The following is a 12,682-nucleotide window of genomic DNA, read 5'->3' as shown; positions in this document are numbered from 1 at the left end:
CATGTTCCAAAATGACAGCAGCTACACAAAGCATTGGGGACCCCAGAGTGAAGCGGCAGTCACACTTTGGGGAGAATGGCCTCTTCTCCAAAGAAAGAGAAGAAAATCAAAGTTCTGATCTCCTGAATTTAATCTAACTATGGGCCGGGTGTGGTGGCTCACGCCTGCAATCCCAGCACTCCGGGAGGCTGAAACGGGAGGATCACTTATGTTCAGGCATTCGAGACCAACATGGGCAACATGGTGAGACCCTGTCTCTACAAAAAAATCAAAAATAGTCAGGTGTGGTGGCGCATGCCTGTAGTCCCAGCTACTCGGGAGGTTGAGGCTGAAGTGGGAGGATCACTTGAGCCTGGGAGGTCGAGACAGCAGTAAGTCATCATTGCACCACTGCGCTCAGCCTGGGTGACAGAGTGAGACCCTGTCTCAAAAAAAAAAAACGTGTTTTGTTTTTTTTTTTTTTTTGAGACGGAGTTCCACTCTTGTTGCCCAGGCTGGAGTGCAATGGTGCAATCTCGGCTCACCGCAACCTCCACCTCCCAGGTTCAAGCGATTCTCCTGCCTTGGCCTCCCGAGTAGCTGGGATTACAAGCAGGCACCACCACACCTGGCTAATTTTGTATTTTTAGTAGAGACAGGGTTTCTCCATGTTGGTCAAGCTGGTCTCGAACTCCTGACCTCAGGTGATCCACCTGCCTCAGCCTCCCAAAGTGCTGGCATTACAGGCATGAGCCATCGTGTCCGGCAAAAAATTTAAAACATAAATAAATAAATCTAGCTATATCACTCTTCTGCTTAAAAAAAAAAAAAAAACTTCAAAGCTCCTTGCACTTTCAGGACAAAGTTCAAGCTTCCAGAACCAAGTACAAGGAAGCCTTTCCCAATCTGGCCCCTACATACCTCTGTGGTCTCATCTCTTTCCACTCAACCCTGCCAACCCTCTCCCCTTCAGCCAGAAGGAAATACTTGTAGCCCTCCCAATGCTGTGTATTTGTCTCTCGGCCTCCTCATCCATGCCTGCTTTGGCCCTACACTCTACCTGCCTCTCCCAGACTTACCACTGCTTAATTCAACTGATCTTTCAAATCTTAACTTAGGCATCGTCTTCTTTACAAGACTTTCTCTGATCCAGCCATGGTACCCCACTTATGCCTCTTCCTGAAGGTGCTGCCGGACCTGTCTGACTCCCCCACTAAACAGGGCCTCCATGCCTGGTATGCAATAGTTATTTAATGTTTAATGACACCTTCCTATGGACTCATACACCATCCAGCATCACTGATGGGGCAATGTTTGGATAACTGGCTCATGGGGGTAGAAAGTAAACATAAATTTCAATTCTTAATCCAGAACACCAGTCATCCTTTAACTTATTCAAGATGCATTTTCTTCCCACTAGCTGCATGCCTTGACCTGGAGAAAAAGAATAAAAGGAAACTTGCAAGATACAGGGAAATCAGAGAGGTTGTCAGTGCTTTATAATAACCACTGGTCCAATTACATTTTTATATCATCTGCTGCCTTCCCCTAGCTGGGTTAGCTCATTACCAACACTATGAACTCTTTTTTTTTGAGACAGAGTCTCACTCTGTCACCCAGGCTGGAATGCAGTGGTGCGATCTCTGCTCACTGCAACCTCTGCCTCCCAGGTTCAAGAGATTCTCCTGCCTCAGCCTCCGGAGTAGCTGGGATTACAGGCACCTGCCACCATGCCAAGCTCATTTTTGTATTTTTAATAGAGACGGGGTTTCACCATGTTGGCCACGCTGGTCTTGAACTCGTGACCTCAGGTGATCTGCCCGCCTCAGCCTCCCAAAGTGTTGGGATTACAGGCGTGAGCCACCACGCCTGGCATATTTTATTGATTGTCTTAAACAATTGGGGATATAGGACGAAACCCTGTCTCAAAAAAAAAAGAAAAAGAAAAAGAAAAAAGTGTTTGCCATACTAACTAAAAGCAAAAAGTCTATTCACAGAATATGTGAGGGACTTCTCAAAGTCAGTCTTTCTCCAAATGACACAATAGGACTTGATACTAAGAATTCGGAAGCTATACAGGAAACAATGACCTCAGATGACTCACACACACAAAAATTCTTCCAGTCTGGGCAATATGGCAAGACCCTGTCTCTACAAAAAAATTTTCTTTTTAAATTAGCCAGGCACATAGTGGTACACGCCTGTGGGCCCAGCTACTCAGGAGGCTGAGGCTGCAGTGAGCTGTATTCCGACCACTGCACTCCAACCTTGGCAACAGAGCAAGACCCTTCTGTCTTAAGAAAGGGGCCAGGCGCAGCAGCTCACGCCTGTAATCCCAGCACTTTGGGAGGCCGAGGCGGGCGGATCACGAGGTCAGGAGATCGAGACCATCCTGGCTAACACAGTGAAACCCCATCTCTACTAAAAATACAAAAAATTAGCCAGGCGTGGTGGTGGGTGCCTGTAGTCCCAGCTACTCGGGAGGCTGAGGCAGGAGAATGGTGTGAACCCGGGAGGCGGAGCTTGCAATGAGCCGAGATTGCGCCACTGCACTCCAGCCTGGGCGACAGAGCAAGACTCCATCTCGGGAAAAAAAAAAAAGGGGAAAAAAAAAAAGGAAAAAAAAGGAAGGGAGAGGGGGGAGCAGAGGGATGGGAGCAGAGGGAGGGGAGGGGAGGGGAGAAATTCTACATGATGTCAAAAAATTTTTGGCTGGGCATGATGGCTCATGCCTGTAATCCCAGCACCTTGGGAGGCTGAGGCGGGTGGAGATTGCCTGAGACAGAAATTGCCTGAGACTGCAGTGAGTGTTCCCCACTGCACCCCAGCCTGGGCAACAGAGCAAGACCCTGTCTCAAAGAAAAAAGACAAAAATTTTCTTGTGGTGTTGGAGGGCAGGGATCTCCAAAATCCTTTACTTCCAAGGATTAGAACTGCCGCTGGATTTTTGTGTAGTTTCAATTTTCCCATTTAGGTTATTAGTCTTCACCCAGTTTTTGCTGTTTTGGAGTAGGGTATTCAAAGCTCATTACCAGTAGGAAGAGGGGATAACCTGAAGCCAAGACTTTTACGCAATTGCCTATATATGAAAGACATGTATAGCCTGCAGTCCATTGGTTTCCCAGTGATGTGGACATAACATCTCCCTGGCTCCCCTCTTTCAAAAGTGCATATTTACAAGAACCTTTGTGAAATTTGAAAAGGGAATCAAATTCAAGACAGCGTTCAAATATAAGCCCAGACAAACTATTAAAAATGAAAGCTGGCTGAGGGCAGTGGCTCATGCCTATAATCCCAGAACTCTGGGAGGCTGAGGCAGGAGGACTGCTAGAGCCCAAGAATTCAAGGTTGCAGTAAGCTATGATTATGCCACTGCACTTCAGCCTGGGAAACCAAATGAGACCCTGTATCTAAAATAAATAAATATTTTTTTTTTTAATGAAAGCTGCCAGGCATAGTGGCACATGCCTATAATCTACTGGGAGGCCCAGCCTGGGCAATCTCATCTCAAAAAATAAAAAAAAAATTAAAAAAAAAAAGGCCAGGTGCAGCGGCTCATGCCTGTAATCCCAGCACTTTGGGAGCCTAAGGCAGGAGGATCACTTGAGGCCAGGAGTTCGAGATCAGCGTGGCCAACATGGTGAAACCCCGTCTCTACTAAAAATACAAAAATTAGCTGGGCGTGGTAGCATGCGCCTTGTAATCCCAGCTACTCGGGAGGCTGAGGCACGAGAATCGCTTGAACCTGGGAGGTAGAGGTTGCAGTGAGATGAGATTGAGCCACTGCACTCCAGCCTGGGCAATGGAGTAAGACCTTCTCTCAAACAAAAAAAAAAAAAAGGAAAAGAAAGAACACCCAATTCCCAAATTTTCCACATGTCCCCAGGTAGAGAGGTAGCAGCAAAATGCTAGAGAAAAAAAGCCCAGCCTTGAAGTCAGACATGCTTGGGATCAAATCCCAGCTTCCCCCAGCTGTGTGATCTTGCGCAAAACAGGTTACTCTCGAAACCTCCGTTTCCTTGTCTATAAAAGGGGGACAATGCCTCAACAGGTTGTTTCAAGGATTCAATTAAATAAAATATATTAGAGAACCTGCATTTTGGCAGAAGTGTTCATGATGTCAATAAGGCAAGGTTTGTGTTCCACCTCTGTAGTTTTTTTTTTTTGTTTTTTTTTTTGATGGAGTTTCACTCTTGTTGCCCAGGCTGGAGTGCAATGGCATGATCTCGGCTCACTGCAACCTCCGCCTCCTAGGTTCAAGCAATTCTCCTGGCTCAGCCTCCCAAGTAGCTAGGATTACAGGTATGTACCATAGGGTCCAGCTAATTTTTGTATTTTTAGTAGAGATGGGGTTTCACCATGTTGGCCAGGCTGGTCTGGAACTCCTAACCTCAGGTTATCCACCCACCTCAGCCTCCCACAGTGCTGGGATTACAGGCGTGAGCCACAGCACCTGGCCGCGGTACATTTTTAAAGGATATTACTAAAGTAAGGGATAGCAGAAAGAACTCTGGCTTTCTGCCTCCGCTGCTGCCATGGCTTCTGTGAAAAAGCCTGTGGTGAAGGGGGGCAAAAAAAAGAAGCAGGTTCTGAAGTTCACTCTTGAATGCACTCACCCCGTAGAAGATGGAATCATGGATGCTGCCAATTTTGAGCAGTTTTTGCAAGAAAGGATCAAAGTGAACGGAAAAGCTGAGAACCTTGGTGGAGGGATGGCGACCATTGAAAGGAGTAAGAGCAAGATCAACGTGACATCCGAGGTGCCTTTCTCCAAAAGGTATTTCAAATATCTCACCAAAACATATATGAAGAATAATTTACGTGATTGGTTGCTCCTAGTTACTAACAGCAAAGATAGCTACAAATTATGTTACTTCCAGATTAACCAGGACAAAGAGGAGGAAGATGAGGATTAAATTTCATTTATCTGGAATATTTTGTATAAGTTTTTCAATAAAACTTGGGAACCAAAAGAAAAAAGAAAGAACACGCGACAAGCGTCAGAAAGACCTAAGTCTCTAAATCTCACATCTCTAGGCTTATTCAGCTGTTAAATGGGGGACTGTACTAGCTATTTCTAATTGACTTACCCATTCTGAAAAACTAAAGTAAGCCCCAATTTCTGCTGAATCCTATTCATTTTTGTTCATTTGCCTCCAACTTCTCTAACATGAGGGATTTATGACCCTTTGAAACAGGTGAGGAAAACCAAAGAAAGGCCAAGATGCCCAAGAAACGTATCATTTGCATGATATTAAAGTTGTAAGCCAAGCTTTTTTATAGGGATGTCTGGATGATTCACTCAGATTAGTGGTAGGCAATAAACGCCTGTACCGAAAATGTTGCATTTTCTGGCACAAAGTCACTGATAAGCACACTGCCTAGCATATAGCAGACACTCAAAAATGCTGGTTGAATGAACAAGGAGCCAACTGACACCTGTTACTCCCTATAAAATCTTTAACTTTCTTAAGCCAAAACTCAAGAAAGATGGTTGTCACATTAAGAACTCTACTAAATATCCTCTGAACGAACGAATCCTTCAAATTCTCAATTATGCTAAATGGAAAAACATAAACAACCGTTGAGAGAAATGCTGAACCAGCGGAAAAAACTTCAAAGCCAAGTTTCAACATTCCCGTAGAGCTAGATACACCCACTGACTGCTGCCAGGGTCAATTTCCCGGCCTCTTCCAGAGCTCATAAGCACCCCCAAAAAGCGCTTAGGAAAAAAAACCCAGCGCCTACTCTACCCTGGTACGCTCGACTCCTCGCACACGTAAACCTTTAAGGTGGATGTCAGTGCAGCCAGCATTGAACAGACGCGAACACGGGGAGACAAAAAAAGCATCTCCCCATATTCACAAGGGTCACCACAGACAAACTCTGAAAAGACCAAATTATTCACAAATCTAAGAGAATTGACAGATCCTCTTTGAGATAAACTATTTTCCTACAGTTTCTGGAGGCAAACAAAAACTCCAAAAACAAGTCGAACGGTCCATCTCCCCACTCCTCTCCCAAGAATGTGGCTGTTTTACATATCACACCCTGGACTCCGACAAGCGAACTCCTAGACCTTCCCGGGGCCTCGGATCGCTGAGTGGCAGAGGAGCTGCCCCGCAGAGCTTTCGGTTGCTTTGGCAGAGTCCCCGTGAGACCTGCCTGCCTGCCCACAAACTCTTCTTGGAGTAAAAGTGAAAGAGAAAAAAAACCCGACTCGTCCACCGTGACGGATGGTGGGGGATTTTAGCAGAGTTGAGTAGCCCAAAGAGGATTCAATTTCCCCCCGCCCTCGGCTGCCTCCTCCCGCTTTCCTGCGAAGCCGGACATGCCTCCTTGGTCCGCGCAAGCCCCACCACCACCCACATGGTGTGTCCGTCCCGGTCAGAGCACAAGAACTTTAAAATGGTGCCTCGGGCCACAAGGCTCATCGGAAAGAGTCACAGAGGCCCACGGCCAGCAAGTGGGCGCGGGGGGTCAGGAAAGGAGGCCCCGGGTGGCGGGTGGGGCGCCCCGGGTGACGCGCGCGTTAGTGGGCGGAGGGAGGCGCACCAGGCAAAGGAAAGGAGAGAAATGGATCGCGGCCCCTTTAAGAGGCCTTCACGGCGCTCAGGAACTGGGGGCCTCTCCACCACCCCCAGCCCGGCGTATGGGGCCCTTCCTTGGGGAGAACTATCTCCAGACCCGCTCCCCGGAGGCTCCCCTCACGCCAGGTCTCGCCCGGCCCTGCCATGGGACGGCGGCTCCTCCTTACCCCGCTGTCTGCCGCCTCTTCCCAGCTCTCAGCGACCTCCTCATCTTCCATCTTACTCGCCGCTTTCCCTCCTCCCCCACCCCCTCCCCGCGCCTGCGCTTTGAAGCGCGCCTCCGTCGCGGGCGCAGGCACGCAAGGCTTTACTCAATGGACCCCGCCCGCTGCCAAGCCCGGAAGAGGCGCCAGGCAAGGTCCCAAGTGTACATTAGGGCAGCCATCTTGGAAGGGGGCAGAGAAGGCGGAAAGATGCCATCTTTCTTAAGGGCCAACGCGTTATCTGTCTTACAGAATGGGCGTTCAAGGGAAGTCCTCATCTCGAGTACCGGAAGTGTGTTCTGTGGAACCATCTTTTCTAAGGGCAGGCAATTAAAGAAAACTTTTTTTCTTTTAAAGTGAGTCGTAGTTTTCCTAAACTACAGATAATGGTATCTTCAGAATTCTGAAAACATTTTTAAACACCAACAAATGATGAAAAATATCTGCTGATGCAGAAAACATTTTATTATTTCTGATAGGGTGAAAATCATTACAGTATTTCCTGCTCATAAAGCAGTATTCTAATCATTTATTAACACTATATCCGCTACCGTAAGGTAAAGACGGTAAAGATAATATTGCACCTCAGTTGGGAGAACCAGTGGGATTCCCAGCTACTAAGTTCTCCTGGGTCTTTAATGGTAGATAAATACGTTAGTATTACCTCTAAAAATTACTGGCCAGGCGCGGTGGCTCACGCCTGTAATCCCAGCACTTTGGGAGGCCGAGACAGGCGGATTACCTGAGGTCAGGAGTTCAAGACCAGCCTGGCCAACATGGTGAAACCCCGTCTCTACTACAAATACAAAAATTAGCTGGGCATGGTGGCACACGCCTATAATCCCAGCTACTCCGGAGGCTGAGGCAGGAGAACTGCTTGAGCCAGGGAGGTGGAGGTTGCAGTGAGCCGAGATCATGCCACTGCACTCCAGCCTGGCCGACAGAGTGAGGCTCTGTCTCAAAAAAAAAAAAAATTATTTATGTCAGGGCAGGCGTAGTGGCTCACACCTGTAATCCCACTTTGGGAGGCCAAGGTGGGCAGATCACCTGAGGTCAAGAGTTCGAGACCAGCCTGACCAACACGGAGAAACCCCGTCTCTACTTAAAATGCAAAATTAGCTGGGCATGGTGGCACATGCCTGTAATCCCACCTACTCGGGAGGCTGAGGCGGGAAGATCGCTTGAGCCTGGGAGGCGGAGGTTGCAGTGAGCCAAGATTGCGCCATTGCACTCCAGCCTGGACAACAAGAGCAAAACTCTATCTCAAAAAAAAGTTATTTATGTGGCCGGGCATGGTGGCTCACGCCTATAATCCCAGCACTTTGGAAGGGTGAGGCGGGGGGATCGCTTGAGCCCTGCAGTTTGAGACCAGCCTGGGCAACGAGGCAAAAGCCCATCTCTACTAAAAAAAAAAAAAAAAGCTGTGTGATCTTAACGCAAGTTACATAAGGATTCTATGTCTCAGTTCCCCAAGTGTATACATTAGAGATAGCTACTTCAAAAGTAGATTGTAAGAATTTAACCAGTTACTATGCTGAAATGCCTAGAACAGTGCCTGACCCATAGTAAGAGTCCTAAGGGTTAGCTATTATCATTATGGGAGTGTCTTGTCTGCCCGAGGAAGATTTATAATTGTCACTTCTGTAATCATCCTTTCTTAAAATATAAGGACAGGGAGATGCCAGGCGCGGTGGCTCACGCCTATAATCCCAACACTGTGGGAGGCTGAGGTGGGCGAATCAGTTGAGGTCAGGAGTTCAAGACTAGCCTGGTCAACATGGTGAAACCCCATCTCTACTAAAGATACAAAAATTAGCCGGATGTGGTGGCAAGCACCTGTAATCCCAGCTACTTGGGAAGCTGAGGCAGGAGAGTTGCTTGAACCCAGGAGGCAGAGGTTGCAGTGAGCCAAGATTGCGCCATTGCACTCCAGCCTGGGCAACAAAGCGAGACTCTGTCTCAAAAAAAAAAAAAAAGGCAGGGAGATAAGCAAACACCATGTGTTTATATTCTTACTGACATGTTCCTGTTTTTCTCTCAGTTTTAAATACATGTCATTCAGTAGTGTTGCATTTGGCTGCTATAACCAAGTTATCTGACTTGGAATGTGTTTTTTCTTGTATTTTTAGTATGCCATTAATCTTTCTGAAGTAAAACCTTCCTGCTGTGAAATTTCATAATTTGTATTCTTTTTTTTTTTTTTTTAGACATAGTCTCACTGTCGCCCAGGCTGGAGTGCAGTGGCGCAATCTTGGCTCATTGCAGCCTCTGCCTCCTGGGTTCATGTGATTCTCCTGCCTCAGCCTCCCGAGTAGCTGAGACTATAGGTGCTTGCCACTATGCCCAGCTAATTTTTGTATTTTTAGTAGAGGCCAGGTTTCACCATGTTGGCCAGACTGGTCTGGAACCCCTAACCTCAGATGATCTGCCTGCCTCAATCTCCCAAAGTGTTGGGATTACAGGTGTGAACCACTCTGCCCGTCCTGTTATTTGTATTCTTAATGATTATCATCATAAACTGCAACCATGTGTTAAATGTTACTGGTCTTTATTTAGAAGCTTAAGTGATATGCTTACTAATTCTCTGGTTTCACAACTTCCTGACTCTGAAATATTGTTCATTTCCAGGGTCTGTCCTCAGTCCACTGTTCTTACCTAGATGTTCATGGTATAAGCCACCCACTGTATGCTGAAGACTGCCAAAGTTGACTTCTAGCTGTGAACTGACCTGGTGTTTCTGATTCTGATTTTTACAGCTAGGCTTCTTATTGCCATCTCCACATGGATATTCCACTAGCAGCTTTTAAGTCTCTAAAACTCAAGTAATTCTCGGCCGAGCGCAGTGGCTCACGCCTGTAATCCCAGCACTTTGGGAGGCCAAGGCAGGCGGATCACGAGGTCAGGAGTTCGTAGACCAGCCCGACCAACATGGTGAAACCCCGTCTCTACTAAAAATACAAAAATTAGCCAGGCGTGGTGGCGCATGCCTGTAATCCCAGCTACTCAGGAGGCAGAGGCAGGAGAATCGCTTGAACCCGGGAGGTGGAGGTTCCAGTGAGCCGAGATCATGCCACTGCACTCCAGCCTGGGTGACAGTGAGATTCCATCTCAAAAAACAAACAAACAAACAAAAACCAAAAAAAAAAACCACACAAAAACTCAGTAATTCTGTTGAGTTCACCAATTTCATGGATTTTTGGCTTATTCACTCTGTGAGATTATATTTACTTGGAATACATTCTACTGTGAACCCATTCGTTGAAGTAAATTATCCTGACTGAGTCTTGGCAACAGCAAAGTGGTTGAAACTGTCAGACGGGGCTGGGCGCGGTGGCTCACGCCTGTAAATCCCAGCACTTTGGGAGGCCAAGGCGGGCAGATCACGAGGTCAGGAGATTGAGACCATCCTGGCTAACACGGTGAAACCCCGTCTCTACTAAAAATACAAAAAAAAAAAAAAATTAGCCGTGTGTGGTGGTGGGCGCCTGTAGTCCCAGCTACTCGGGAGGCTGAGGCAGGAGAATGGTGTGAACCTGGGAGGCAGAGCTTGCAGTGAGCCGAGATCGCACCACTGCACTCCAGCCTGGGCGACAGAGCAAGAGTCCGTCTAAAAAAAAAAAAAGTATACAGAAACTGTCAGACATAACCTCGTTCTGGAGCAATAGTTTTTCCTAAATGCAAGTGACTCCTATATTTAAGCTTTGTCGTTATGCCATATTACCAGCAGAGGGAGATGGTTTCTTACAATTTAGCATATTGGGCAACGACCCTTAACAAAAGCATTAGTTGTGCATTTCTGGGACTGCATTTTCAAGGAGACAAGAAAGATGGAGACCTTGGAAATCATCTGAAAATGCTGCAAATGAAATAGTTTTTGTTCCACAAAATGGGTAACCAGGAGGTCAGTCTTAGTTAATCACATAGACCCCTTGTGACCTTGGGCAAGTCTCTTCTCTCTCAGTCTGATTCCTCATCTGTAAAATCAGGGATGGAACCAAATTAGCTCTAAAATTGAAAAAGTAGTGGCAGTTTCTTCTTCCAGGGATAAGCCCAAAAAGTTGAGGCAGTGGCGGCCTGGCACCGTGACTCACGCCTGTAATCCCAGCACTTTGAGAGGCCGAGGCAGGTGGAAGATGAGGTCAAAAGATCAAGACCATCCTGAACGTGGTGAAACCCCTTCTCTACTAAAAATTCAAAAATTAGCTGGGCGTGATGGCACGCGCCTGTAGTCTCAGCTACTAGGGAGGCTGAGGCAGGAGAATCGCTTGAACCTGGGAGGCGGAGGTTGCAGTGAGCTGAGATCATGCCATTGCACTCCACCCTGGCCGATAGGGTGAGACTTTGTCTCAAAAAAAAAAAAAAAGTTGAGGCACACAATACACAGGTATTGTCAGAGGCCCTAAAGCATGAGTCTTTCTCTCTCTCTCTCACTCTTTCTGCTCTCACTCGGTCACCAGGCTGGAGTACAGTGGCACAATCATGGCTCACTGCAACCTCCACCTTCCAAGCACAAGTGACCCTCCTGCTTCAGCCTCCTGAGTACTGAGTAGCTGGGACTATAGGTGTGTGCCACCACACCCAGCTAAGTTTTTGCATTTTTTTTTTTTTTTTGGAGATGGAGATTCTCTCTTGTCACCCAGGTTGGAGTGCAATGGCGTGATCTTGGCTCACTGTATCCTCCGGATTCAAGCGATTCTCCTGCCTCAGCCTTCTGAGTAGCTGAGATTAGAGGCCTGGGCCACCATACCCAGCTAATTTTTTTTTTTTGACAGAATCTTGCTTTGTTGCCCAGGCTGGAGTGCAATGGTGTGATCTCGGCTCACCACAAGCTCTGCCTCCCGGGTTCAAGCGATTCTCCTGCCTCAGCTTCCCAAGTAGCTAGGATTACAGGCGCCTGCCACCAAGCCTGGCTAATTTTTGTATTTTTAGTAGAGACCGGGTATCACCATGCTGGCCAGGCTGGTCTCAAATTCCTAACCTCAGGTGATCCACCCGCCTCGGCCTCCCGAAGTGCTGGGATTACAGGTTTGAGCCACCGTGCCCAGCCCGGTGTATTGTATTATTAGTGGAGACAGTTTCTCCATCTTGGCCAGGCTGGTCTCAAACTCCTGACCTCAGGTGACTTTTTTTTTTCCTGAGACAGAGAGTCCACTTTTTTTTTTTTTTTTTTTTTGAGACGGTGTCTTGTCTTGCTCTGTTGCCCACGCTGGAGTGCAATGGCGTGATCTCAGCTCACTGCAACCTCTGCCTCCCAGGTTCAAGCAATTCTTCTGCCTCAGCCTCCTGAGTAGCTGGGACTACAGGCACGTGCCACCACGCCTGGCTAATTTTTGTATTTTTAGTAAAGACGGGATTTCACCATATTGGCCAGGCTGGTCTCAAAGTCCTGACCTTGTGATCTGCCCGCGTCAGCCTCCCAAAGTGCTAGGATTACAGCCATGAGCCACTGCGCCCAGCTTTTTTTTTTTTTTTTTTTTTTTTGACAAATTTTCGCTCTTGTTGCCCAGGTTGGAGTGCAATGGCATGATCTCAGCTCACCACAACCTCCGCCTCGCGGGTTCAAGCGATTCTCCTGCCTCAGCCTCCCGAGTAGCTGGGATTACAGGCATGCGCCACCATACCCGGCTAATTTTGTATTTTTAGTAGAAATGGAGTTTCTCCATGTTGGTCAGGCTGGTCTCGAACTCCCGACCTCAGGTGATCTGCCCGCCTCGGCCTCCCAAAGTGCTGGGATTACAGGCGTGAGCCACCTCGCCCGGCCGAGATAACTTTCTATCTGACGCACAAGCTGAAGCTAGGTAGATAGTTGTGATGAGTAAATGGCAACTTACCAATATTGAAAATGTGCAGGCTGGGCATGGTGGCTCACACCTGTAATCCCGGCACTTTGGGAGGCCAAGGCAGGTGGAT

At 47.5% G+C, this 12,682-nt stretch overlaps 1 protein-coding gene and 1 pseudogene across 6 annotated transcripts in view, besides 4 other annotated features; one reads left to right on the top strand and one right to left on the bottom strand.

Annotated features, from left to right (window-relative positions):
* Positions 1 to 6,803, bottom strand: part of SZRD1 (SUZ RNA binding domain containing 1) — a 30,904-nt gene extending 24,101 nt beyond the window's left edge. For all 6 annotated transcript variants that reach the window (NR_073501.2, NR_073502.2, NR_073503.2 and 3 more), the window contains exon 1: positions 6,737 to 6,803. Coding sequence is in view for 2 of the 6 variants with exons in the window: in NM_001114600.3 (NP_001108072.1) it covers positions 6,737 to 6,787 (51 nt within the window). In the remaining 4 variants the exon portion in view is untranslated. The remainder of the gene's footprint in view (positions 1 to 6,736) is intronic.
* RPL22P3 (ribosomal protein L22 pseudogene 3) lies at positions 4,494 to 4,952 on the top strand (annotated as a pseudogene).
* Positions 6,007 to 6,296: an enhancer, noted in NCBI's record as "active region_264". NCBI's record gives its function as "activates an Ori minimal core promoter by ATAC-STARR-seq in GM12878 lymphoblastoid cells {active_cell/tissue: GM12878}" and the evidence as "EXISTENCE:reporter gene assay evidence [ECO:0000049][PMID:35858748]".
* Positions 7,047 to 7,106: an enhancer, noted in NCBI's record as "active region_263". NCBI's record gives its function as "activates an Ori minimal core promoter by ATAC-STARR-seq in GM12878 lymphoblastoid cells {active_cell/tissue: GM12878}" and the evidence as "EXISTENCE:reporter gene assay evidence [ECO:0000049][PMID:35858748]".
* Positions 10,317 to 10,466: an enhancer, noted in NCBI's record as "active region_262". NCBI's record gives its function as "activates an Ori minimal core promoter by ATAC-STARR-seq in GM12878 lymphoblastoid cells {active_cell/tissue: GM12878}" and the evidence as "EXISTENCE:reporter gene assay evidence [ECO:0000049][PMID:35858748]".
* Positions 10,537 to 10,586: an enhancer, noted in NCBI's record as "active region_261". NCBI's record gives its function as "activates an Ori minimal core promoter by ATAC-STARR-seq in GM12878 lymphoblastoid cells {active_cell/tissue: GM12878}" and the evidence as "EXISTENCE:reporter gene assay evidence [ECO:0000049][PMID:35858748]".

Source organism: Homo sapiens, chromosome 1, assembly GCF_000001405.40.
Source record: "Homo sapiens chromosome 1, GRCh38.p14 Primary Assembly".
Classification (NCBI taxonomy): Eukaryota; Metazoa; Chordata; class Mammalia; order Primates; family Hominidae; genus Homo; species Homo sapiens.
The sequence above is the reverse complement of the archived record's forward strand: the minus strand, read 5'-3'. Positions and strand labels throughout refer to the sequence as shown.